Source organism: Homo sapiens, chromosome X (assembly GCF_000001405.40).
Source record: "Homo sapiens chromosome X, GRCh38.p14 Primary Assembly".
Classification (NCBI taxonomy): Eukaryota; Metazoa; Chordata; class Mammalia; order Primates; family Hominidae; genus Homo; species Homo sapiens.
In genome coordinates, this window is record NC_000023.11 from 8,121,340 (window position 1) to 8,147,931 (window position 26,592).

Genomic DNA, 26,592 nt, shown 5'->3' on the forward strand with positions numbered 1-26,592 from the left:
GCTGCTTGACTTCTCTCCCTATCTCTCGATTGTTTCCAAATTCAGGTAAGGGAAAGCTGATGTTAATAGGTTCCCTTGAGAGGTGACAGCGTGCTGGCAGCCCTCGCTCGCTTTCGGTGCCTCCTTGGCCTTGGTGCCCACTCTGGCCGCACCTGAGGAGCTCTTCAGCCCACTGCTGCACTGTGGGAGCCCCTTTCTGGGCTGGCCAAGGCCGGAGCCGGCTCCCTCAGCTTGCGGGGAGGTGTGGAGGGAGAGGCGCCGGCAGAAACCGGGGCTGCACGCAGGGCTTGCAGGCCAGCGCGAGTTCCGGGTGGGCGTGGGGTCAGCGGGCCCCGCACTCGGAGAGGCTGGCCGGCCCGCAAGCCCCTGGCAGTGAGGGGCTTAGCACCTGGGCCAGCAGCTGCCGTGCTCGATTTCTCACTGGGCCTTAGCTGCCTCCCCACAGGGCAGGGCTCAGGACCTGCAGCCCGCCATGCCTGGGCCTCCCCCACACCCGCCTCCCCTCCCCCCTCCCCCTCCCCCATCCCCTCCCCCCTCCCCCATCCCCCTCAGCCATCGGCTCCTGCACAGCTGGAGCCTCCCAAACGACGATGAGCGCTGCTCCCTGCTCCACAACGCCCAGTCCCATCAACCGCCCAAGGGCTGAGGAGTGTGGGCACAGGGCACGGGACTGGCAGGCAGCTCCACCTGCGGCCCAGTGCCAGATCCACTGGGTGAAGCCAGCTGGGCTCCTGAGTCTGGTGGGGACTTGGAGAACCTTTATGTCTAGCTAAGGGATTGTAAATACACCAATCAGCACTCTGTATCTAGCTCAAGGTTTGTAAACACACCAATCAGCACCCTGTGTCTAGCTCAGGGTTTGTGAGTGCACCAGTCCTCACTCTGTATCTAGCTAATCTAGTGGGGACATGGAGAACTTTTGTGTCTAGCTCAGGGATTGTAAATGCACCAATCAGCACCCTGTCAAGACAATCGGCTCTCTGTAAAATGGACCAATCAGCAGGATGTAGGTGGGGCCAGATAAGAGAATAAAAGCAGGCTGCCCTGGTCAGCAGTGGCAACACCCTCAGCTCCCTTTCCACGCTGTGGAAGCTTTGTTCTTTCACTCTTTGCAATAAATCTTGCTGCTGCTCACTCTTTGGGTCTGCACTGCCTTTATGAGCTGTAACACTCACTGCGAAGGTCTGCAGCTTCACTCCTGAGCCAGCGAGACCACGAATCTAACAGAAGGAAGAAACTCCGAACACATCTGAACATCAGAAGGAACAAACTCTGGACACGCCACCTTTAAGAATTGTAAGAGGGTGGGCGGCTTCATTCTTGAAGTCAGTGAGACCAAGAACCCACCAATTCCGGACACACCCTTAATCTCCAATATTGGAAGGTCAGTGAGTCTTTGTTGAATCCATAAACAGCCTCATGTTTATGACTGCCCTCCCTTTTATGCATTTGGGTAGTTTCAAGAAAATATGAATCATTTAGCTAAGATTACCATAGAAGAGAAGACTAAGATTACTCACTAATCTTAAGTATATTTTACATTTGAATTTGATTAACTTTATTTTTTGGTGACTGCCATAAAACCACTTATGCATCCTATCCCTGTTCTTAAGAAACATAATTTTCATTTAAAGCATCCCAGTGTATTTTGTGTGTATGTGTGTGTTGGTAGGAGGAGAAGTGTGTGTGTGTGTGTGTGTGTGTGTGTGTGTGTGTAAATAAGGGCTTTAAGCATGTACTTTAGTTTGATTTGAATTCATCTGTTTTAAATTCAGGGTGAAAAATAAAATCCAAGTTTGACAAAGAAAGAGAACAAAAAGCATTATAAAAGTCACCAATTTTCAAACACGTCCTTCATTTGGAAACAAACTCTCAACCAACAATGATTCAAGCAGACAGATCTAAATTGATTGGTTTGGTTTTAGATTCCACCAGATTTTCCAGACTGGGAGCTCTTTGCTCATGAAGCTGCCTGTGTGCTAAGTGGCCAGGATATCAGACACGTTGAAAACCAGAAATGCTTTCACACTGTCCAGTTCAATCAGTGTGACAGAGCCATGTTCCATATGTGTAGGTCAATGGTTTTAACCTGGCATCCGTGGCTAAAATTTGAACCGAAGACCCCAGTGTTTTCCATGAATGCATTTCTAGTTCAGATATATCTTCAAAGTCTCTCTTCTGAGGCATTCCTCGGCCTCTGTCCACTCCCAGCCAGTCCCCTAACCATTTGTCTGGGTCTTATCTGGCATGTGTGTGTAGTTCTCACTTCAACATCTTTAAGGGCTTCAGCATTTTTAAAAAAACAAGGATTTTTTTTCTTCAAAACATTCAGAACATTTAAACGGCTGTGAATCATCCAAATAACAATCACAGTTTATTTGAAAAGGTACAATTAAGATATTGAATGTTGTTATAACATTCTTGTGTGTGCTGACTGGTATGTTAAAGACCAAAGAGTGATACTGTATTCATTTTAGCTTAGTGCCTCTTTCTGCCCCAATTCCTTGGCCAGGATTTGCAGAAATTTTTACTAAGGACACTGTCGGTGTGGCTAGCATACCATCCTGTTGTGTACAAGCAGAAATCAGACTTGTGACCTACCCAAATCCCCACCACCCTTCTTCTCAATACTCATCAAAAACCCCATTGCCACCATCTCCTGGGTGATACTGAGGCTTCTGCAAAACACACAAAAACAAATGCCTCTTATCCAAAAAAAAGTGTGTGTGTATGTGTGTGTGTATGTATGTATTTTTCTCATCTTAACTTTCTTTTTCTTTCTTTCTTTTCTTTTTTTTTTTTTTTTTTTTTTTTTGAGACAAGGTCTCACTCTGTTGCCCAGGCTGGAGTGCAGTGGCACAATCACGGCTCACTGCAGCCTCTGTCTCCCAGGATCCAGCAATTCTCCCACCTCAGCCTCCCCAGTAGCTGGGATGACAGGTGTGTACCACCATGCCCAGCTAATTTTTGTATTTTTTATAGAGACGGGATTTTCCCATGTCGCCCGGGCTGGTCTTGAACTCCTGGGCTCAAGCAATCCGCCCACCTTGGCCTCCCAAAGTGCTGGGATTACAGGCATGAGCCACCGTGCCTGGCCAGCATCTTAATTTTCACTGTAGCATTTCCAGCGTTTGTTTCATCATATCGTTCAGAATGTTTCCCTCTTTCTCTGTGATGTATGAGAAGTTGTGCCCCACCTCATATTCTCAAGTACAACACACGATGAGGAATATTAGAACTATAACATCCTTCAGGCTGAAAGATAACTCATTAGTGCTAACCACTGCTGTTATTATTCCTGCTGCCATTTTACTATTGGGAAAACTGGCAATTAATGTCCTTTCCCAATGTGCATAATCCCTTCTGAGAATGGGTTTTGAGAAAAATGAGAAGGTTTGCGTGGGATGTGGGACGTGGAATGAAGTGGAAGCCGTTATTTTCCAGAGGCCCAGGCTACTGGAAGCAGCTATTTCAAAGAGCTCTACCCCATCTTCCACGTCATGGTTGTGATGAAACCCCAAATGCTGCCACACTTTTAGTGATTTTCCTTTCTGGTTTGAACCCAGATTCATCCACATGCTCACAAAGCTCTGACGGTTAACTCAGTCACAGTCAGCCAAACTGTGGCCTCAAAGCTCATGAACCTTCTCCCTCAGAAAGACAAACAGAAGAGCAAAACCCCTCCCTAAATAGCATTCTTAGTTCTCAAATTCTTTAGTAACCACCCTCACCCTCAAATGCACAATGGTATACATTTATTTGTTGGTTTACATGTATGCCCTTTGTCTACCTTACTGGACTAAAGTTGCAGAGGTGGCTGGCAAACTTAGCCCCATTTAGTCTAACAGTGCTGTAAGGAGTAAGTCAGATAGCCCCTGGGACAAGTTGCCTGATAGGATACATGTTAACCCATTGAATTTGTATTTCAGAAAAGCAATAAATGTGTTTTTTTTTTTAAGTATAAGCATGTCCCATGCAATATTTGGGATATGCTTAAACTAAAAGTGATTTGTTATTTATTTGGCATTCAAATTTAACTGGGTAACCTGTCATTTTACTAAGTCAGGCAGCCCTATCCCAGGAGCATTGTGACTGATTGCCAAGAGCACCAGTCATTTATCTTCTTGCTTCCAGCTTCCTTCCTACTCTCTGCTGCTATCCCCTGTGTCGCGGGGTGCTGGGATCCTACAAATACATTTCTCAGTCTGGAGCCTCTGAGTATGGGTGTTGGATTAGTGATTACCAAAGAGAAGAACTTGCATGAGTTTTGAAAGGGTCGGGGTGGGGGTGAACTGTGTGAGATTGGAATATGGGGCTCTTCCAATGGGAAGCACAGACAGGAACTGGAAGGCTTTTGGGTTCCCTCCCTTTGTCCAGAGCCTCCATAAGGGAAAGACTGGCTCCCACGTGGTCCCCAGGCAGTGTGGTCGCAGTGAGGCAGCAGTGTCGAGCACAAATGCAGCAGCCTGTGGGGCACGGCAGGTGCAGGCTCTGGCTCAAGCCATGGTGGTGACGGGCTGGCAGCTTCAGGCTCCCAGAGTCCTGAGACAGCATCAGGGCCCTGGGCTCCTGCATTCCTGCAAGGTGGTGGTCTTGGTTCTAAGGCTGCCATGAATACTCTCAGAGCCTCAGTGGTGGGGGATTACGGGCTCTTGGTGAAACCATTTTCTCTTTCACTCCTTCAGCACAGAAGTGGTAGGAGCTTTCTGCAGTTCTTAATCTCTTGGCCATCTTACCTTCCCTTTCTACCTTCTTCTGGATCTCCTGCCCCTTTCTAAATGATTCATTTTCAATAGATTCCTTCTGTTGGAATGCATAGGGTGGTAATGCCTTCTTACCAGACCCTGCCAGAAGTAGTGAGCTAAGTCTTTTATTCTTATCATCTGCAATCAACAAGAGCCTCTCATGCATCATTACATTCATCATTTCATCACCAAACACATCATTGCATAATCAGACACGTCATTACATCATCACACACATCATTACCTCATATGTGCACCTCCCACTCTCCACCTAGACACAGGGAAGAGAGGAAGGCACCAGGAAATCAGAGTGGTAAAGAAAACTTCAGGAAATCAGGTGGTTTTAAGACCCTTTATTATGACTTAAATAAATTCTGAAATTAGTTTCTTTAAGGAAGGCCCCTAAACCGGGAATGAACATGAATAAGAATTATAGTCATTTTAGCGACCATAGTTTCCCCAGGAATTATTGCACTAAGGCATTTAAATTTTTTTCCAAATGCTAAAATATTTTGTCAGCTTTATTGACCATTCTTTCTAACCCCTCAGTAAATTATATCTCTATCTGAAGTGGAACATAGGAGATGCCCTAAGCTTCTCAAAGATGTTTTGTAACGATCTAGGTAAGGACTGTGTCTAATGGAAATGACAGGCATAATTTATTTGTGAAAGCAGAAATGAAATTCAACCTTGACAACAGATTGCGCATTTTTCCATAATGCCATGGAAGTGAAATTCTTGTGATGTAGATTAAATCGTGGAATTTGACTTATTGTTCAAAAACATTAGTTCAACTCTAAACAGTTGAATTACTCAGCAGCTGTGTACAAATGTATGATACAGATAACAAAATGTATTAACAATTCCCTAGATCTACAGAAATCTATCACTGCTTTTTAGGATAAGCTTGACTTTTGTTCAAATAAAAATGCAAAAGGAAAGTGTATCCTAAAAGGCAATGACAGTTTAATGTGTTTCTGACATGCAACCTTCAAGAGATCCATATATGAACCATTTTGTGTGGATAGTACAACTCTAAACATAATGTTATGTGGAAATTTGTATACAGAATATTTAGCAAAGAAGAGTCAGGATGAATAAAGTGAAAGGAAAGACTTTCCCAATGTTATTTTTTAAGTGATATGAGATGCATCAAGTGAGATGTGTTTGACAAAACTTTATTCAACGTTGATCCTGACAGAAAAGAAGCAGGAAAAAACAATTAATACACTTCCTATGTCTTGAAAAGTAGCAATTTTAATTTTATTGTGCATTTTGCTTGACGATTTTATATATGACTTCCAGTCAATATTTCATCTGGAGGACTGAGCAGGTATTATGATTCCCATTTTATGGCAGATTGCAAGGTGAATGTCACCTGTCATCAGCGCATACCTGGCCAGGGGCCACGTCTTCCAGATTCCAGCCCACACGGCATGGGTGCCTGCATTTCCCTGTTGCTCTTCTCCTCACACTGATATTAATGAAGCACATCTACTTTTAGTCAATAACCACTTTTATGTTACAGACACATAACAACTGGGAAATAAACATCTATATAATTAATCTCAACTAAGCCAGTTAACCCTTACTTTTTACCTAGGCTGTATGCTGAAATGTGTGCCTTTTCTATAAAGGGGTTTGTATTCCTCTCATTATATTGTATCAGGAGGAATCACTCTAAGATAAAACAGTTTATCTCCAAAAGTCTGCAGAAAATGTTGATAACAACCTGCAACTCTCTGGTAAAGGACTGTGAAATGCAAAACAAACCAAACCAAGCCCCAAGACCTACTCATGTAAGATGATGCTATGATACATTGCATTCATCTTTAGCTTTTTAGCCGTCTAAATTGTGTTCTATGAGAGTCTTAAATATCTTCCCTTTATCTCCTTAAGAAAGTCCTAAATTCTTAGCCAATTTTTTTTCCTTTTTTTTTTTTTTAAGAAAGGATCTCGCTCTGTTGCCCATTCTGGAGTGCAGTGGCACAATCTCGGCTCACTGCAACCTCCGCCTCCCGGGTTCAAGTGATCTTCTGCCTCAGCCTCTCGAGTAGCTGGGACCACAGGACTATAGGTGTGTGCCACCATGCCCAACTAATTTTTGTATTTTTAGTAGAGACAGGATTTCACCATGTTGGCCAGGCTGGTCTCAAACTCCTGATCTCAAGTGATCTTTCTGCCTCGGCCTCCCAAAGTGCTGGGATTACAGGTGTTAGCCACTGTGCCCGGCCCTTAGCTGGTCTTTGAGGACACAATACTGTCCTGTGCATTCTTTCCCAGACATGGCCTTACATCAACTGGAATCCCCAACCAGTCACTGTCTTGCATTGTTTTTTAAATACATTATAGTTTCCACTTTCTGGTACTGGTTCTTTTCCTTCTAGTTGCAAGTACCTGATACCTCTGTCTATAGCAACCTTTCTTCATGGCCCTGCTCAAATGCTCCATCCTCCACAAAGCATTCATTCATTGATTGCACCAGCCAGAAGTGAAGTCTGCATCCTAAGATTACATACAACTCTTTCTTCAAGCCCTTTATTCCAATCATATCCATACGGCTCTGGATTGTTTTCATGAATGTCCTTATCTAATCTCTCCTGAGAGACCCTAAATTCCCTTGGGAGAGGGACTTTATTTTAGAGCTAAGGCTGCCTTCAATCTTCTTTATTTAGTTATAGCTGCTATAAACCTTCTTTGACGTTAGAAAAAGCATACCAATATCTACCAATATTTAGTATTTATTAAGTTCCTGTTATATGTCAGGAATTCTGCAAAGGATTTTACATACGCTATTTCCATTTGCCTTAAGAGTTCTGCAAGATAGTATAAACCAAAAGGTATCTGAGACAGGTCTCAATCAATTTAGAAGTTTATTTTGCCACTGAGAAGGAAATAATCGTGAAGGAGGTTTGTGCCTTTCTCCAAAGATAATGTTGAGGACTTCAGCATTTGAAGAGGAATAGCTGTCTGGAGGGGAAAAAGGGAGGGTATGGTCACATTACTGAATCCACATGCTGCAAGTGAAAGGAAGCAGGTTGGGGAATAGTCAATAATATATTTATCTCTTGCTCCATAAATCAGCACTTTACATAAGATAAGGTGAACACAGAGTAGCTACCTATGGAGACATTTAACCTTTTATCTTAGCTGTCTGTAGAGGAACAAGAGGAAAGGCAGTTTCTTGCACGACTCAATTTTCAGCTTAGTTTGTTTTCTTCTGGCATAGTGAGTTGGGGCCCCAAGTTTTTATTTTCCTTTCAGAATAGATATTACTATTCATATAAAAGGCCCCATAACTTATAAAAGACTGTCAGCGCTGGTGTAAGTCAAATCTGACCTAACTCTAGCCTACCATACTGATATTACACTGTTGTGCAATCATGGTCTGCTATGATTTGAGTGTTTGTCCCTTCCAAAATTCATGTTGAAACTTAATCCCTGATGTTGAGAGGTGGGGCCTTTAAGCGGAGCCTGGGTCATAAAGACTCTGCTGTCAAGAATGGATTATCCACTTATTAATTAATGGATTAATCAGTTTATGAATTAATGTATTGATGGGTTGTAACAAGAGTGGGACTGATGGCTTTATATGAAGAGCAAGAGAGACCTGAGCTAACACACTCAGCTTCCTCACCATGCGATGCTCTGTGCCTCCTGAGAATGCTGCAGGCTGCAGAGAGGTCTCCTGCAACCCCCAACTAGCAAGAAGGCCCTCACCAGATACAGCCTGTTGGCCTTGGACTTCTCAACCTCCATAAGTGTAAGAAATAAGTTCATTTTCTTTATAAATTACCTAGTTTCCAGTATTCTGTTATCAGCAACAGAACAGGGACTAAGACATGGTCTCAATAATAATCTCAAAAACTATTTCTGTCCTCAGAGGTCATAATTGCGTTGAAGACTTAGGTTCCAAGAAGGGACATACCACAAAGTGGGACACTACACATAATAGAAGTAAAATTGCTCTTCTTTCAACCACAGAGGCAGAGCTCATTAATTCTGACTGTGAGGAAGGATTTGAGGTAGGCTTAATAAAAGAGATAATATTTGAGCTAAGCCTTGAAGGAGAAGGGTGATGTTGACAGAGGAGAAGATGGAAGGGCATTTTAGAGAGAGAGAACAGGTATGATTAAAGCCATAAGCTCCATGAACAGGGATGAGTTGTTGGAAGGAAGGGGTGTAGGTTTGGAACAGGGAGTGAGTTATGAAGCTGCAACAAAGACTAAAGTCCAACTTGGAACAACGCTGAATGCAACAGAAAGGGAGTCAGCATTTTATCTTTATGAAGTGAGAAAGCATGGAGTGGGAAACTGACATGCTCAGAAATTTGTTTTGAGCAGATGGATCTATGAACAGCATGAGAGGATATATCTAAGTGTATCTTTTAACTGAGATACATATCTAGAAATGTGCATTTTTAAAAAATTCCTGACTTACTACCTAAAAGTCTACACATGTCTTTATTTGTACATCCATTCTGACCAAGTTGGAGGTAAAATATTTATATTGTAGAACATCCTTCCAGACTCATCTCACAGCCAAGCTGCTGTGAGCTACTTTCTGTTTATTTTTTTCCAGTTACATTTTTTTTTTCAAAAATAAACCTTGTATTAAGGTGTTGGGGTTGATTTAGGGGAAAAAATAATCTCACATGTTTTCTGAAAATTACAACTTAATGTAAAATAAATAGAAAATGTTTTCTATTAACCTGTTAGTTTCCTAGCTGAATATTTTGACTATCTTTTGCTTGCCTGTCTACTGCACAAATATTTTATCTTTTAACATGTCAAACGTCAATGAAGTTATGACAGACAGGCCACATCCCCACTTCCATAGAGAAGAATCATAATTGTCCCTCTTAGTGCCTTGTGCATTTTAACAATTTGAGAGGAAACTCAATCTTTATGTAAAGAATGTGCCAATTTAAGCATTTTGTCTCACCCATCTGCCCTCTGATGGCCTCTTATAGATGTTCTGCCTTTTAAGAATAAATTAGGCCAAGTGCAGTGGCTCATGCCTGTAATCCTAGCACTTTGGGAGGTTGAGGAGGGAGAATTGCTTGAGTCCATGAGTTCAAGACCAGCCTGGGCAACATAGGAAGACTCCACCTGTATGGATCATCAAAAAATTAACGGGGCGTGGTGGCATGCACTTGTAGTCCCAGCTACTTGGGAGGCGGAGGCAGGAGGATCAGTTGAGCCTGGAAGGTTGAGGCTATAGTGAGCTGTGATGGCTCCACTGCACTCCTTGAATAAATCAGATCCATGAATACTTTATCCATTACTGGGGGAAAAAAGAAGTCTTATGCTATACTATACATTGTTATACATTGTTTCTTGACCAAATGAATTCATGTTATGCTTGTAAGAACTCATATATATTAAAATAATTATTAAAATCTGGAGAGGTTCATGCCTGATATAATTAGGCTTTGTGTCCCCACCCAAATCTCATTTTTAATTGTAATCCCCATAATCTCCATGTGTCAAGGGAGAGACCATGTGGGGGTAATCAGATCATGGGGGCAGTTTTCCTCATGCTATTCTCGTGATGGTGAGTGAGTTCTCAGGAGATCTCATGATTTTATAAGGGGCTCTTTACCCTTCACTTGGCACTTCTCCTTCCTGCAGCCTTGTGAAGAAGGTGTCTGCTTCCCCTTCACCTACTGCCCTGATTGTAAGTTTCCTGAGGCCTCCCCAGCCAGGCTAAACAGTGAGTCAAAACTTCAAGTTTCCTATTCTTCCCTAAAATTGATAAATGTTCAACTGATTTAATGTAGCTAGAGGTCTAGCAATTAAGGGAATGATGCAAAAATTAAAGAACAGGAACAAAAAGGCTCTTCTTCTTGGTAAAGTTATTTCCAAGATAAAATAGGTCAGAGTCCTTTTTAGTATTGGGTTGTCTTTATGTTTGGTGGTATGGCTGCAATAGAGTTCATAGCGTCAGGCCACTGTGGAACCATTGTTTCCTGAAAGTTCTGTATCATTAATATGTTTCTCTGAAATGATTTAACTTCTAAACTGGTACAGATCTCAGTACGTACATGTGAAGGGGCTGGGCATGGTGGCTCATGCCTGTAATCGCAGCACTTTTGGAGGCCGAAGTGGGCGGATCGCTTAATCTCAGAAGTTCAAGACCAGCATGAGCAACGTGGCGAAACCTCATTTTTACAAAAAACACAAAATTTAGCTGGATGTGGGGGCACATGCTTGTCATCCCAGCTACTTGGGAGGCTGAGGTGGGAGGATTACTTGAGCCTGGTTGGCCAAGGCTGCAGGGAATGAGCCTTGATCATGCCACTGCACTCCAGCCTGGGTGACAGAACAAGGCCCTGTCTCAAAAATAAAAATAATACATGTGAAGGGTGAACTTAACATAAATAGACTGTGCTAGGGACAGAAAATATTTAAAAACTCTAATCCAAAAGCTTTTGACAGTATTTTCTCTTTTTTGAATGATTAGAAGTGTGAGACATTGAAAACATCAAGGATCACATGTAAGGCAATTAGAAAACATTCCACCAAAGACTCTGGGGGAGCATGAAGTATCTGTCAGTGAACCAGCAGGCAGGAGAGCTGATGTTTGCAAGAATGCAGCAGAAACTATAATGCACATTGCTATCCTAAGTTAGCTTGTTCTTACTCAAATCATTAAAACAATAACCTCATTTTCTGTCTCAATAGAATCCTTCTATTAAGAGTGTTATACATTTTATAGATGTAGAAAGAACTTAACCTCATCTTCAGTGTTCCACCTGGGTGGGTGTGGCTGATGCATTTGCTTCATTTCAGACTCCAAAAAGCATATTGGTTTATATTCATTAGCTTTACTGGTTCCTTTTCTCTAAAGAACCCAAGGTGCTCTTGAGAGCTGCTTCATATAATGAGCATGTAGTGCCTCTTAAATCAGGAGAACAAAGAGGCAGTCAAGGAGAAAGACAAGTAAATGAGGAATGAAAGACCTTGAACATGAAAGTGGGTTGAGTTTGATGATGCCATACATTTGGCATTGCTTATGCAGTTTTCAGTAAACTAAAATCATTTTTTCGATGCCATTGGCTGATCAATAAGACCAAGAGGTTATAGAGAACACCAGGTATTCAATTCCTGTGACTTCAGAATATCAGTTATCTCCAAGTGCTGATAACATCATTGATAATATAAATTATTTCTCAGGTGTTTAAATCTAGTGTTGACTTTCTTGAATCTGAAACATTTTAGAATGTTTTCTCAACAATTAATGCCCTTTATTCCATCTTTCCATTCATTGTCCCTTCCCCACCGCCATGCTCACACTTGATTCTTGACTGACCACTTCCCCATTTTCTTTCTCTTCATAACCATTTTATTTTTTCAGCCTGCATTTTCAAAGCCACATCCTTCTGGTTTCTTGTATTTGCTTGCCTTTTGACCCCAGCCCCTTTTCATTCCTACAATTTCCTTTCTTTTTATCCTACTTTTTCTCCAGAATGTGATTTTTCTTCTACATGTCTCTTTCTGCTTTGCATGTCCTGCTGAAGATTCCTCTCTCTGTCCTCTGTGTGTGCTAACTCCATGGAAGCCCTTTCTCCATATTATACTTTACATCAAATTGTTTGTTATCCCCCCAGGAAGGTTTTTTATTCCTTTACACTTTCTCCACTTTCCACGTCTAGGTGACCACATTGGGCATACTTGATTCCAGTTCCTTCCCATTGGCGGGTGCTCAGCTGAAAATGGCAGCTCTGTCTCCCTCCCCTGTCACTGGGACTCTTCTCTCCAAGGTGAAGGACCATCTGAAGTTTTGTTTACGGAATTATCAGGGGTCCTGAATAAGGACTGCCTTCCTTATCCAGGCACAATTCCCTGATTTCCAACCAGACACCAGGAAAGCTGAGGACTGAATTGTGCCACCCCCACCACCAAAAAGTCCATATGTTGAAGCCCTAACCTCCAATATGATGGTATTGGAGATGGGCCATTGAGAGGTGATAAGGGTTAGATGAGTTCATGAGGACCTGTATTAGTTAGGGTTCTCTAGAGGAACAGAACTAATAGGATAGATATATACATAAAGGGGAGTTCATTACATTACATATTAACTTACACAATCACAAGGTCCCTTACATGATTGCGAGGCCATCTGCAAGCCGAGGAGAAAGGAAAGCCAATCCAAATCCCAAAACTAAAGAACTTGTAGTCCGATGCTTGAGGGCAGGAAGCATCCATCATGGGAGAAAGATGTAGGCTGGGAGGCTAGGTCAGTGTAGTCTTTTCATGTTTTTCTGCCTGCTTTATATTCTAGACATGGTGGCAGCTGGTTAAATGGTGCCCACTCAGATTAAGGATGGGTCTGCCTCTCCCAGCCCACTGACTCAAATGTTATTCTCCTTTGGCAACACCCTCACAAACACACCCAGGATCAATACTTTGCATCCTTCAATCCAGTCCAGTTGACACTCAGTATTAACCATCACAATGGCAGTGTAAGTTACTTCAATCGTTGTGGAAGACAGTGTGGTGACTCCTCAAAGACAAAGACAGAAATACCATTTGCCCCAGGAATCCCATTACTGGGTATATATGCAAAGGAATATAAATTGTTCTGTTATAAAGACACATGCACATGTATGTGCATTGCAGCACTATTCACAATAACAAAGATGTAGAATCAACCTAAATGCCCATCAATGATAGACTGGATAATGAAAATGTGGTACATGTACATGATGGAATATTATGCAGCCATAAAAAAGAACAAGATCATGTCCTTTGCAGTAACATGGACGGAGCTGGAGGCCATTACCCTTAGCAAACTAATGCAGGAACAGAAAACAAATTCCACATGCTCTCACTTGTAAGTGGGAGCTAAATGATGAGAACATATGGACACAAAGAGGGGAACAACAGACGCTGGGGCTTCTCAGAGGGTGGAGTGTTGGAGGAGGAAGGGGATCAGGAAAAATAACTAATGGGTACTAGGCTTAGTACCTGGGTGATGAAACAACCTGTACAACAAAGCCCCATGACAAAAGTTTGCATATGTAACACACCTGTACATGTACCTCTAAACTTAAAAGTTAAAAAAAGAATGCAGAGTATCTCCACTGCTATTGAATATGATGCTAAAGGTGTTTTTCTAAACAAGAAAAATAAGTAAACCAGTTAGAGGCATAAGGACTAGGAAAAATACTAATTCCTATTATTTTTTAGATGATACCTGGAAAGCTTTAGATAATTAATGATCAAACTAATTCACAAAGTACAATAATTCAGTAAATTAGCAATAAAAATAACATACAGAAGTCATTAGTATACACCCAAAACAAAAATTTATAGAGTATTCAGTATTAGAGAAAACTCTATGTACAATTACAGCAAGATGACATACCCCTTAGAAATAAAGACAAAAAGAAATGTGCCAAGTGTATAATTTAAAAAACCTTTAAAATCTGAAAGAAAAAAACGTAGATTAAACAAAAGGCCAAACATCCTTGAACAAGATGGCTCAAAAACATAATGAAGTCAATTCTAAATGGGTGAATTTATAAAATTAATGTCACAATTTTTGAAAACTACGAATTGTCTTATGGAGTAAGATTAGTTGACACGGAAGTTCATGTGGAATAACCAGCAGGCAAGAATAGCCAGAAAAACCCTTAGTAGGGTCAAGCCCTTTCAGAATTTCAACACATTATTAAGCATCTTTAATGAAAATAATTTGTTACAGGTACATGAGAAGACAGAAAGACTAGAGGAATAGAAGAGAACATCTAGAAACCGGTAGAAGTACAGAAGAAGGCAGTTTCGTATTTAATAAGGATGGTATCTCAAACCACTGGGCAATAATAAATTTTTTTCTTGAGACAGGGTCACACGCTGTTGCCCAGGCTGGAGTGCAGTGGCTCAATGAAGGCTCACTGCAGCCTCAGCCTCCAGGCTCAAACAATCGTCCTGGCTCAGCCTCCCAAGTATCTGGGACTATGGGCTTGCACCACCATGCCTGGCTACTGTATTATGTTTATTCTTAATTTAGAGACAGGGTCTCAATATGTTGCTTAGATGGGTCTTGAACTCCTGGGGTCAAGCCATTCTTCTGCCACAGCCTCCTGAGTAGCTAGGACTACAGGTGTGCACCACAGTGTCAAGAATAATGGATTTTTAAGCAAATGTTGGGACAAGCTGGAAAATGATAAATTTAGATCCATACTTCATTTGTACACAGGAGTAAACTCCAAATGAATCCAGTATCTAAACATACATGCACATACACATGCTTAGATGTATGCATACCTACATAATACAGCCATGTAAGTGCTAGAAGAAAAATGAATTAATTCTTCTATAATCTCAGTGTGGGGAAAGGGCTAAGTATCACTCAAAATCAAATGCAATCAAATATATATAACATTTGAATATGTAATTTTCTAAAAATTTGCTGGGCAAAAAATGCAATTAAAAAGTCATGAGAAATATACACCTGCACCACATAAGAATATTTCAGTCAGTGACAGACCACATATTTGATGGTGGTCCCATGAGATTACACCGTATTTGTAGCATACTTTACCTAAGTGTGGATAGGTTTAGGTACACAAATACCATGTGTAACATGTGTTACAGTTGTCTACATTATTCAGTGTGGTTTCAGGGTGCACAGGTGTGTAGCCCAGGAGCAATGGGCTACAATATACAGCCCAGGTGAGCAGTGTGGGCTGTGCCTTCTGGGTTTGAGTGTGTTCACTCTAAGATGATTGCACAAGGACCAAACAACCTAAAGATGCATTTCTCAGGAAGTATTCCCAGCACAGAGTTGTATAAGTAGCCTCATAAAGGAGCTAATGTTAATACATTTTTAAAAATTGAAAATTGAAGGAAAAAAATTTTTTAAAAATACATATGCTATGGGTACAGGCATATTTCTATTTAGATACTTTCTATCATGAAAATATTATCCAAATATAAATATAAGATTAAAAGGTTTCTAAACTGAGTTTACAATTCAATCAGATTTTAAAGATAAGTGATATTCCTCTAGGCAAGGCCATGGGTCAAAGAGACCTTTAAACAGCAAACTGGGCCTACAGTGTAACCAATTTAAAAACTAAACTTAATTTACATTTAGAATTTATCTGATAAGACTTTCACTCAGGGCAGTCTTAGCAAATTTGAGGCTCAGTATCTGCTTCTGAAGCTGGGAGACAATCCCTGAGTTCATCATTTTCTTTCATCACTTTGTCCACTGAACTTAGGAGCAACCAACCAACTTCATTATGTTCCTTGGTTCTCCACATATGGTCAAAGGTATTATCTATAGAGTCACTAAACTCCTTGCCTTTCACAAGTAGTGAATCAGGAGTGTCAAATGCATTTATTTTGCATAACTCTCTAAACATTTCACACCAAAGACTATCAGTGTTCTCCATACTATTAGAAATAAAGTCCTTAACATTTTGGGGTCTAATCATGTTAAGCAACCAACTCCAGAAACCCCAAAACTAACTAAAGAACTCCATCCTTAATATTCTATTCCTCTAGAACCACTTCTGGTACCAAAATCTGTATTACTTGGGGTTCCCTAGAGGAACAGAACTAATAGGAGATATATATATATATATATATGGCAGTTCATTAAGTATTAACTCACATGATCACAAGGTTCCACAACAGGCCGTCTGCAAGCTGAAGAGCAAGGAGAGCCAGTCCAGTCTCAAAACTGAAGAACTTGGAGTCTGATATTCGATGGCAGGAAGCATTCAGCATGGGAGAAAGTTGTAGGCTGGGAGGCTAGGCCAGTGTAGTCTTTTCATGGTGTTTTTTTTTTTTTTTTTTTTGGCCTGCTTTATATTCTAGCCGTGCTGGCAGCTGATTAGATTGTGCCCACTAGATTAAGGGTGGGTCTGCCTTCCCCAGCCCACTGACTCAAATGTTAATCTCCTTTGGCAACACCCTCACAGACACACCCAGGATCAATACTTTGCATCCTTCAAGACAATCAAGTTGACACTCAATATTAACCATCACAGGGCCCAAGCTTCATGATGGGATTAGTGGCTGATAAGAAGAGGAAGAAGATTTCTCTCTCTCTCTCTCTCTCTCTCTGTCTGTCTCTTTCCCCACCCCACACTAACCATTTGAGAACACATAGAGAAGTGGCTGTCTGCAAACTGGGAAGAGAGCACTCACTGGGAACTGATTTAGCTGAAATCTTGATTTTGGACTTTCAAATGTCTGTTGTTTATGCCACCCAGTCTATAGTAGATTTGTTATTGTTGTTGTTGTTGTTTTAGTTGTTCTTTTTTTTGTTAGTTTGGTTTTTTTTTATAGCAGCCCTAGCCGACTAAGACAGATACCTCAAAGCCTCTGACCTACGCCTACTACCGTGGCAATACAAAGTCACTGTTTCGTAACACTGTGACCCAGGATAATATTTTCAGTTCCATAAACACGTGTTTATAAACTGAAACCTCTTAGGTCTTTCTTTTCACAATATTCTGAAAACCAAGTGGATATGTTCTCAAATTATTTATGGTCAAAAGGGAAAAAATAGGAAGTGATTTATATTGTAAGGGACAGAAAACACTACAGTGAAGATTTACTGAGTAGTGTTGGTGTTTGAAATATATTTCGTTGTTGTTGTTGTTGTTGTTTTTGAGACAGAGTCTTGCTCTGTTGCCCAGGCTGTAGTGCAGTGGCACCATCTAGGCTTACTGCAACCTCTGCCTCCCGGGTTCAAGTGATTCTCCTGCCTCAGCCTCCTGAGTAGCTGGGACTAAAGACATGAACCACCACACCCGGCTGTAATGTTTTTGTATTTCTTAGATTTTTTTCAAGTTGTTAACAAAGTGAACTTAAGAATGAGGACACCATCATTTGTAAATACTGACTAATTCCATAGGCTGTAACAGAACAATTTATGCTAGACTGGTTTCCCCATTTTTCAAGTCTGTCTTTAAGGCAGTGAAAACAGGCAGGACTCTACAATTAGCTTTTTAGTCATATGATTAAACAAAGAATGCATTGGGCCTGGTGATACAGGGAGACCTTTCCTCTTACTGATAGTAAAAAAAATGAAATTCGTTTTTCATTTTAAAAAAAGTGATCGTAATTGTTTGGTTTTCTGGTTGATTGAAAGATCCAAAAAGAGGGTTGTGGTGCCACTGCCTGGTATTTGTTTTAAATTAATTTTAATGCAAGTTGAAATTGTGATCAAAGATTTAGCTTTATCCAAGAAAAACAGTTCTTTATTCCTAATGCATTTCATTTCACGCCAACCAATTAAACCTGGCAAAGAGACAAGGGCATTAGCCGTTAATTAAACAGGGGAGCCCCAGAATGCAAAATTTAATGCATTCTACCTCTGTTCTACACTCCCAAGTTACCACCACATTTTTATTCATAAACTCTTATAATCCCATAGGACAGTTGGCATTCCCAGATATTTCTCCTTAAAAGTACTTGATGGGATTTTAAATATCAGTCAAATATTCATAATTTTAAAATTGTATTTAGAAAAGCAGGAATGAATCCTAAAGTCCATTGGATTTCAGTAACTGTAGTTGTCTCTAAAAATACAAAACCATTTTCTTGACTTCTGTTTCAGACAAATTAGAGTGACATATAACACTGTAATTATGTTTGAAGTTTGGCTCAACCATAGATAAGCTAAGAAAATAATAATTTTTAAAAGTTAAAGTTAATGGAAGGCTGAATGACATTTGTTTAAAAGCCATTTTTAAAACTTCAGCAAAAATTCTCAAGGACTTAAGGAGAGTTGCTGCACAAACTTTCCTTGTGAAAGGGATTGAGAAAGATTCCAACCAACTCCTCCGGGTGCCGTGAGTCATACTGTGTAAATGCAAAAGATTTCAGACTCAAGTCAACCGATTTTGAAGTGCTTTTGAAGTTTAAAGTGCTTTACCAATGAGTACCAAACATCAAATGAAATCTTCCGGGCAAAGCAAATCATATGTTCAAAACCAAATGCTTAGGAGAGCTCTCTGAGGTATTAGCATCTCAGATGTTAAGAAGAAAAAAAAATTCATCAAAAAATGTTTCATCTGATGCATCTCCTACTTGCAAATAGCTATCACTGATACTTTTCAAAGGTGTTAGTCTTTCCTAAAAACCCAGTTGGGGATGAGAGTGAAAATGTATGTTTTAGACAGTATTCAAGTCATGTCTGAAGTGCTTTAGTCAAGTATACAAATAAATGCTGCTCCCGTTCTGGGTGAAAACATCATGTCGGGCAAAAGATTAGGACAGAATAGGCCTTTTTAAAAAGATTTTTTTCCAGGTGTTTTTGGGCCAAGTTGCCCAGTTATCAGAGAGCAATGAGGTTCACTTTCCACGACAGTATTATCCATGACAATACAACCTCCCCAGAAGGCATTTGGCAAAGCAATCTCATGCCTTTGAACTGTGAAGGCCAAGATCCTTGACCCCAGAGGTCTGCTGAAAAATCACTACCATGAGGCAAATTGATTAGTAGGAGAAAAGGCATACAAATATATTTAATGTGTACAGACAAGAGTCTTCACAATGAAGACTCAACCTCTCAATGAGGTTTGAAGCTTATGCACTATCCTGAGGTTACAGAAAGAGTGGGGGCCTTGGAGCCTTGTGAAATAGGTGACTGGAGGGGGAGAAGAAGAATTCTATTGTGGGGCAGTAAGTGATTACTAGGGAGAATGAATACATGGGAAACAGGGATTAACTTGTAAATAGTTTTCTTTGGAATTTAACTGATTCTTAGAGACAGTCATCTGGAAAAAGGGTCTGTTCAGGTGTGGTAATATGTTGGTCATCTTTCCAGCAATGGGTAAGGAGATAATAGGAGAGGAACAAGAACAATTGTTCTCCTTGGTGGGTGAGTCCTAGCCTTATGTAGATAGGAAAAAAGTTTTTTGCAGCACTTGTTGATCTCTAAGGGCTTTTCGTTCAAAATACTCATTATATCAGGGAGCCCTATTTTTCGGTGAAATATTTTGATTTCCTTCACAACCATAGTATCATGTGGCTGCACTTTTTGCAAGTTGATGAACTGGAAGAAAATGCCTGGGTGCTGAGTCTGATACCCGTAGGCTATGGGAGGTCCCCAAAACCAGGTGGGACCTCAATCCTGGCCGGTGTCCAGGCTCTTGATACCATCAGGAGAAGAAATTCAAGGAAGAGTCAAAAAAATAGTGTTAAGTGTGGACATTTATTGCATACCAAAAGTACACACCGAAGAAAGGTGAGTGCAGGTGTACTCAAGAAAATGAGTCACGCACAACAGAGTTTGGGGCTGCTACCTTTATGGTTTTCTTAAACCAAGAGGTGGAATATTAACGAAGATTTCTGGAAAAAGGTGAGATTTCTCGGAACTGTGGTGCCACCCAGTTTTACACCAAATATGGGTGTTCCCAGATCTGTCATGGTGCTTGTGGGTGTATGATGTAGTATGTTAATGAGTGTATAATGAGGCCTTATGTGAAACGAGGTCAAATCCAGCATCATGTTGGGCCTAGTTGGTTTTAGCCAGCTTGGTCCACATCCTATTTTGTAGGTTCTTATCAGCCCCTAGCTTATGCAGCTATTTCAGCGGTTTCCTTTTGCTAATCATGTGGGACTGCTGCCTGAAATTTCCTTTTCTCCTGCCACCACCCTGTATCATTCCTGTCTCAGGTCCATCAACTTTTCCACACTGCTTAGCCTGCAAGAGGTTACCTTCAAGAGGAGGAAAAGACCTGCACAAACAAATGCAGGAGAGACATAGGTGGGAATTGTGAGTCGTCAATTGGAGGTCATGGGCTCCCTATGCAAGCAGAATCTGAATCCTGATGGTGTCAGTTTCTGCTTAGAGGGATCTATCCCAACTCGCTTGACCTCACAGGATTTCAGTGTGCTCGCTGTACAACAGGGATAGTAATAACCACCTAAAACTAATGGCATTTATTCATGCACAAGGGTGGAGGCACAGCATAGAGTGGTGGTTAGGATTATAGGGTCTGGAGGCTGACTGGGTGGGAATCCTCAGGCCTCCCCTCCAAGGCTCTGTGCTTTAGCATCTCTGCTCTAGAGGGCACATGTAAATGGGGACAGTGACTGTTGTTACCCTGTGGGCCTTACTAAATCATGTGCATGAAATATTTAGCATGGCAACTCTCCCACTCTAAATTTGCAATGTATTTGATCTGAATGACAAATAAAAATGATTTCTGGCCGAGTGCAGTGGCTCACACTTGTAATCCCAGCACTTTGGGAGCCTGAGGCCGGCAGATCACTTGAGGCCAGGAGTTTGAGACCAGCCTGGCCAACATGGTGAAACCCTGTCTCTACTAAAAATTCAAAAATTATCCAGGCAAATAAAAAATAAAAATAAAAAATAAAAATGATTTCTGAAGGGCCATAAGGAAATTATGAGTAAGGGTTAAGGACATTCACAGGAACCCCCAATGTATTTCTCTATCAATATTCCAGAAGGAATTTATAATCAAAGGACTAAGAAATTCAGAGATGCTACCATTTTCAACAGATGGAGAAGTGAGAATAGTAAAAACAGACAACTGCAATAGATACTATATGTTTAACTGTTTTAACATGCTACCAGTATTTATTCAAGTGATTAGAGTTAGTAACGGAAACATGTTCCATTAATTTAGGAAATGCTGATTAAGGACCTGCTTTGTGCTTCACCATTTGTGTATCTGTGTTAGAAACTAGGGTTATAAAAATAATGTGTTCTCCGTAAGGGAATGTATTTTAAATTGTAAGAGTGTTAAGACATTCAGAATAGTAGGGCAGGAGTCAAAGGAGAGCTGTATATTGACCTCTTAATAGATGCTCCAAGGTGGACTCTTCTGTCCCCTCTGCCAGCTCCCTGACTCCTTCCCTAGGATGGAGGACCTGGATAGGACGGGGTCACAGGCAAGGCTATGGCAGGGGTAGGGGGGAGCTGGAAGGCAAGGGTGCCCTCAGCCTTTGCTCTTCTCTTTCTGCTCCTGGCTTGTTTTTTTCTTGTCTTTTCTCCCAGTTGAATGAGGTGAGTAAAGGCCTGTGGGGCAGAGGGGAGCCCTCGTAGGTGTCTGTGTCAGCCAAATGGTGTCCTCTCCATGTTCCAGACTAAATGAGCAGACAATGGATAGGATGATAAATCCAAACTCCTCTTCTCTTCCCAGACTCCTGTGTCCTTTTTGCTCTGATACAACAAAACAAGAAAGCTGGTCTTGTAATGTAGGTTATTCTGAGTTATAAAGGTTACTGTATTCATTTACTAGGGCTGCCTTAACCAAGTAACACAACAGAAATGTATTGTCTCACAGTTCTTGAGGCTTGAAATCTCCAGTGTTAGCGGGGGCTGGTTCCTTCTGAGGGGGATGAGAATGAATATGTTTCCCGACTCTCTCCTAGCATCTCATGGTTTGCTTGCAACGTTTGACATTCCTTGGCTGGTACATGCATCAACTTCATGTCTGTCTTCATCTGCACATGGCGTTCTTCCTATCCCTTCACATCCTCTTGCCTCATGCATGTCTGTCTTCATCTGCACATGGCGTTCTTCCTATCCCTTCACATCCTCTTGCCTCATGCATGTCTGTCTCAGTGACGAGATCTCCCCCTCTTAGAAGGACATCAGTCCCGGTGGATTAGGGCTCACCCTAATGACCTCTTTTTAACCTGATTGCCTCTGTCATGACCCTGTCTCCAAATAAGGTTACATTCTGAGCTGATAGGAATTAGGACTCCAACATATGGATTTTTGATGTGCACAGTTTAACTCATAACAGCAACCAATAGTGAAAGTCTAAATAGTGATATAATTATTTTAAAAAATGGGATAAGAAGAGAGGGAGGTACTGTGAGTACTTTCATGTATCATAACAGCAGATCATTATATGGAGTTGATGAAATTTTAAAAAGTATCAGTAGAAAGGTATCATTTGGTAATATGGAGGTAATTACTAAAATAAAAGCAGAAATGGTGGTGAGTTTTGCACTTGAGAATTGGTTGAGTTAAAAAAAACTTTTGGATCTGACTCTAAAATCTGTATTATAGAGTTTATATTAGTGGATCTCATGTATCTCTTCTCAAATTGTATGTGCCTTCTTGTTCAGAGAAATTTCATTTTTAATGAGAACTTAGACAAAAACTAATTAAATCAATCAATTCATCAATTGCAAGTCTAAGGAAATTTATAGGAAAAGCAACATGTTCAACTCTATAGCTGGCAGCGCCCAGTGTATCAGTGTCTCACTGTGTCCGGAATTGGTGGGTTCTTGGTCTCACTGACTTCAAGAATGAAGCCGCGGACCCTCGCGGTGAGTGTTACAGTTCTTAAAGACGGCGTGTCCGGAGTTTGTTCCTTCTGATGTTCGGATGTGTTTGGAGTTTCTTCCTTCTGGTGGGGTTCGTGGTCTCGCTGGCTCAGGAGTGAAGCTGCGGACCTTTGCGGCGAGTGTTACAGCTCTTAAGGTGGCGCATCTGGAGTTGTTCATTCCTCCTGGTGGGTTCGTGGTCTTGCTGGCTTCAGGAGTGAAGCTGCAGACCTTCGCAGTGAGTGTTACAGCTCATAAAGGCAGTGTGGACCCAAAGAGTGAGCAGCAGCAAGATTTATTGCAAACAGTGAAAGAACAAAGCTTCCACAGTGTGGAAGGGGACCCGAGTGGGTTGCCAGTGCTGGCTCTGGCAGCCTGCTTTTATTCTCTTATCTGACCCCGCCCACATCCTGCTGATTGGTCCATTTTACAGAGAGCCGAGTGGTCTGTTTTGACAGGGTGCCGATTGGTGTATTTACAATCCCTTAGCTAGACATAAAGGTTCTCCAAGTCCCCCACCAGAGTCAGGAGCCCAGCTGGCTTCACCCGGTGGATCCTGCACTGGGGCCGCAGGTGGAGCTGCCTGCCAGTCCCACGCGGTGCGCCGGCACTCCTCAGCCCTTGGGTGGTCAATGGGACTCAGTGCCGTGGAGCAGGGGGTCGATGCTCATCCGGGAGGCTTGGGCCACACAGGAGCCCACTGAGGGTGGGGGGAGGATCAGGCATTGCGGGCTGCAGGTCCCGAGCCCTGCCCCACGGGAAGGCAGCTAAGGCCCGGCGAAAAATTGAGCACAGCAGCTGTTGACCCAGGTGTTAAGCCCCTCACTGCCCCGGGCTGGCGGGGCCGGCTGAACCCACGGCCACCTGGAATTCGCGCTGGTCCCAGCAAACACCGCGCGCAGCCCCAGTTCCCACCGGCGCCTCTCCCTCCACACCTCCCTGCAAGCTGAGGGAGCCAGCTTCAGCCTTGGCCAGCCCAGAAAGGGGCTCCCACAGTGCAGCGGTGGGCTGAAGGGCTCCTCAAGTGCCACCAAAGTGGGAGCCCAGGCAGAGGAGGCGCTGAGAGCCAGGGAAGGCTGTGAGGGCTGCCAGCACGCTGTCGCCTCTCATCATCACTGCTGTAACAAAATATCACAAGCTTAGTGGCTTAAAATAACACAAAGTCACTATCTTATGTTGCTGGAGGTGAAAACTCTCACTGTGCTAAAATCAAGGTGTCTGCTGGGTATAATTTCTTCTGGAGGCTCAAAGGGAGATTTCGTTTCCTTGCTTTTTCCAGCTTCTATAGCCATTCGCATCCCCTGGCTTGTGGCTCCTTCCTCTATCAAAGTAAGCAGAGTAGCATCTTCATATCTGTCTCTGACTTTCACCCTTTCCTGCCTCCTTCATTCACTTACAAGGACCTTGTGATTACATTGGCACAATGAGCTAATATAAGATCATCTCCTATTTCAGGATCCTTAACTTAATCACATCTGCATACTCCCTTTTGTCATGTAAGAAAACATATTTGCAGGATGTAGGGATTAAACTGGGGACATATTTAGGGGTCTTTATTCTGCCTACCATACTCAGTAAAAGACAAAGGCTGTTTTAGTTTGGATGTACAACAGACAAAGACAATAGAGAACAGCAGATATTCTGGTAAAGAAAAGCCATGGTTCCCATAATTCTCCCAGCAATGCTAGTGAGCGCCTTTTCCAGTGGGGACTATCTATCAAGTCTCTTGACAAAAGCAAATAGGATGTGGCAAGGTTGAACTACTGATCAGTATGCCCTTGAAACCCTTGGAGGGTTATGCTCAAGTAATGTTTTAACAAGGTGGGCAGAGGATAATTATTTCTCTAAGCCACAGGATGAATGGTAATTGATAAAATTCCAAATAGAAATTGTGAGCATGTGTAATTCGATTCATTATTTTTAACTTTGCAAAACATCATTTATCTAACTTTGCAAACTTACAACTTTGCAAAACGTTACAAGGAAAATCTTTGCGTTTTAGTTTCCAATGCTATTAAAATTGAATAATTTAAAATGCAGACTCTGACAGAATAACTTAAGTGAAAGAAAAATAAAGTTATACAGAATTTATTTAATCAATAGATTTGAGAAGACAGGAAAATTTAATGTTGAGGGTATCAAATAGGCGCCCAGTGGACAGAATTGTCTATGTGGTGGAATGAGATACAGCACCACTGACACTTGCACCTGGAGGAATGCTTATTTAGACGGTAATAACAAAGTCAGTGATTTTTCCTACTATTTTCGATGCTATCCTCAGGCTATAGATTTAAACTTTATGAGAAGTTCAATTAAAAAGGCGATATCTACTAATTTCTCAAATGGCCTTTATATGAGTCTTATATAGACACAGGGACAATTACATACAACTTGATATGAAAATAAAGCAAACCAAGAAGTTAAAAGAAGTCTTATGGTTCATGTTTGTAAAATAATACATTGGAACATTTTTCCTAGTTGAGATTTAAACAGAAAAATTATATGTGTTGACTTACTGCTTGCATGTATATTTCTGCAAGAGATAAAAACCTTAGGATTAATAATTAAAACCATTCTGGAGTTTTATATCAGCAGGTACCAAAGCTGTCAGTTGCATGATCTTAACCACAATTAAATTCAGGCATAACACTCCCTGATTATACCAATATAGGGAGAAAAAGATTTCTTCTCGCCCAGGTCAGTTTTTATAGATAACAAACATTTAACCATAAAAGAAAACATGCTCTCTGTAGAGGGCTAATTAAACACCATAGTAATAAGATAGGAAAGGTTGTTTCAGGTGAGTGAACCCAACTCCAGTCATGGAAGAAAGAAAAGGAAGCCCTTGATTTCCATGGTTGGGAGAGGCACAGGTGGCAGCAGGAATCCTCAGGATGTCCTAAGGAAAGGTTTCCTCTCCAGCTTTTAAGTCAGCCATGTTGGCTTCATATGTTAAAGCCCTTGCTGTTTACACAGTGCTGTTTACACTATTTATTCCTGAACGCTTTGCCCTGCGTTTATCCCCCTGAGAAAGGATAAGCCCTTCCAAACTAATGACCCCCAATTCCTTTGTGGTTGGTCATCCTTTAGTGCCTCGTTAGCCAGAATTACTTAATGTCATTCATCAGCCTTGCAACACTCACATGGCATTTACTTGGCTAGCAATTTTATTGGAACTTAATTATTAGCGAGAAAAAATAGAAACATTAAAATGGTGCAAACCTATAGCAATGAAATGCTTAGCATGCTGTTAATGCTGCAGAGAATCTTAAAACTAAATTGAATCTGGCCTCATGGCACTTAGGTTGTGAGAAGCACTGCTTGCATTTAAATATTTTGCTACACATAGATACAGGAAACATGATTTTGATGTTTGTTAAATAAGAGTTAATTTTTCTTATATAACAGAAAAAAGCCCTCCCTATTTTTTTCCCAATCAAGTTGTTTATTTCTAATTAGACTAAATATAAGGTGAAATGTATTCAACATATCCAAAACACTATTTTAATAAAGTGAGCAAATTGTCAAGATCCATATATTTATTTCAGACTTTTTAAAAGTTAAGACAA

At 41.4% G+C, this 26,592-nt stretch overlaps 1 long non-coding RNA gene and 1 other non-coding gene across 5 annotated transcripts in view; both read left to right on the forward strand.

The window, feature by feature from the left end:
• LOC107985675 (uncharacterized) overlaps window positions 1–26,592 on the forward strand; it is a 528,885-nt gene that overhangs the window by 193,840 nt on the left and 308,453 nt on the right. The gene's annotated exons all lie outside the window — the stretch shown is intronic.
• On the forward strand, window positions 5,626–5,722 carry MIR651 (microRNA 651). The gene has a single exon (NR_030380.1). It is a non-coding gene; the product is annotated as a microRNA 651 (primary transcript).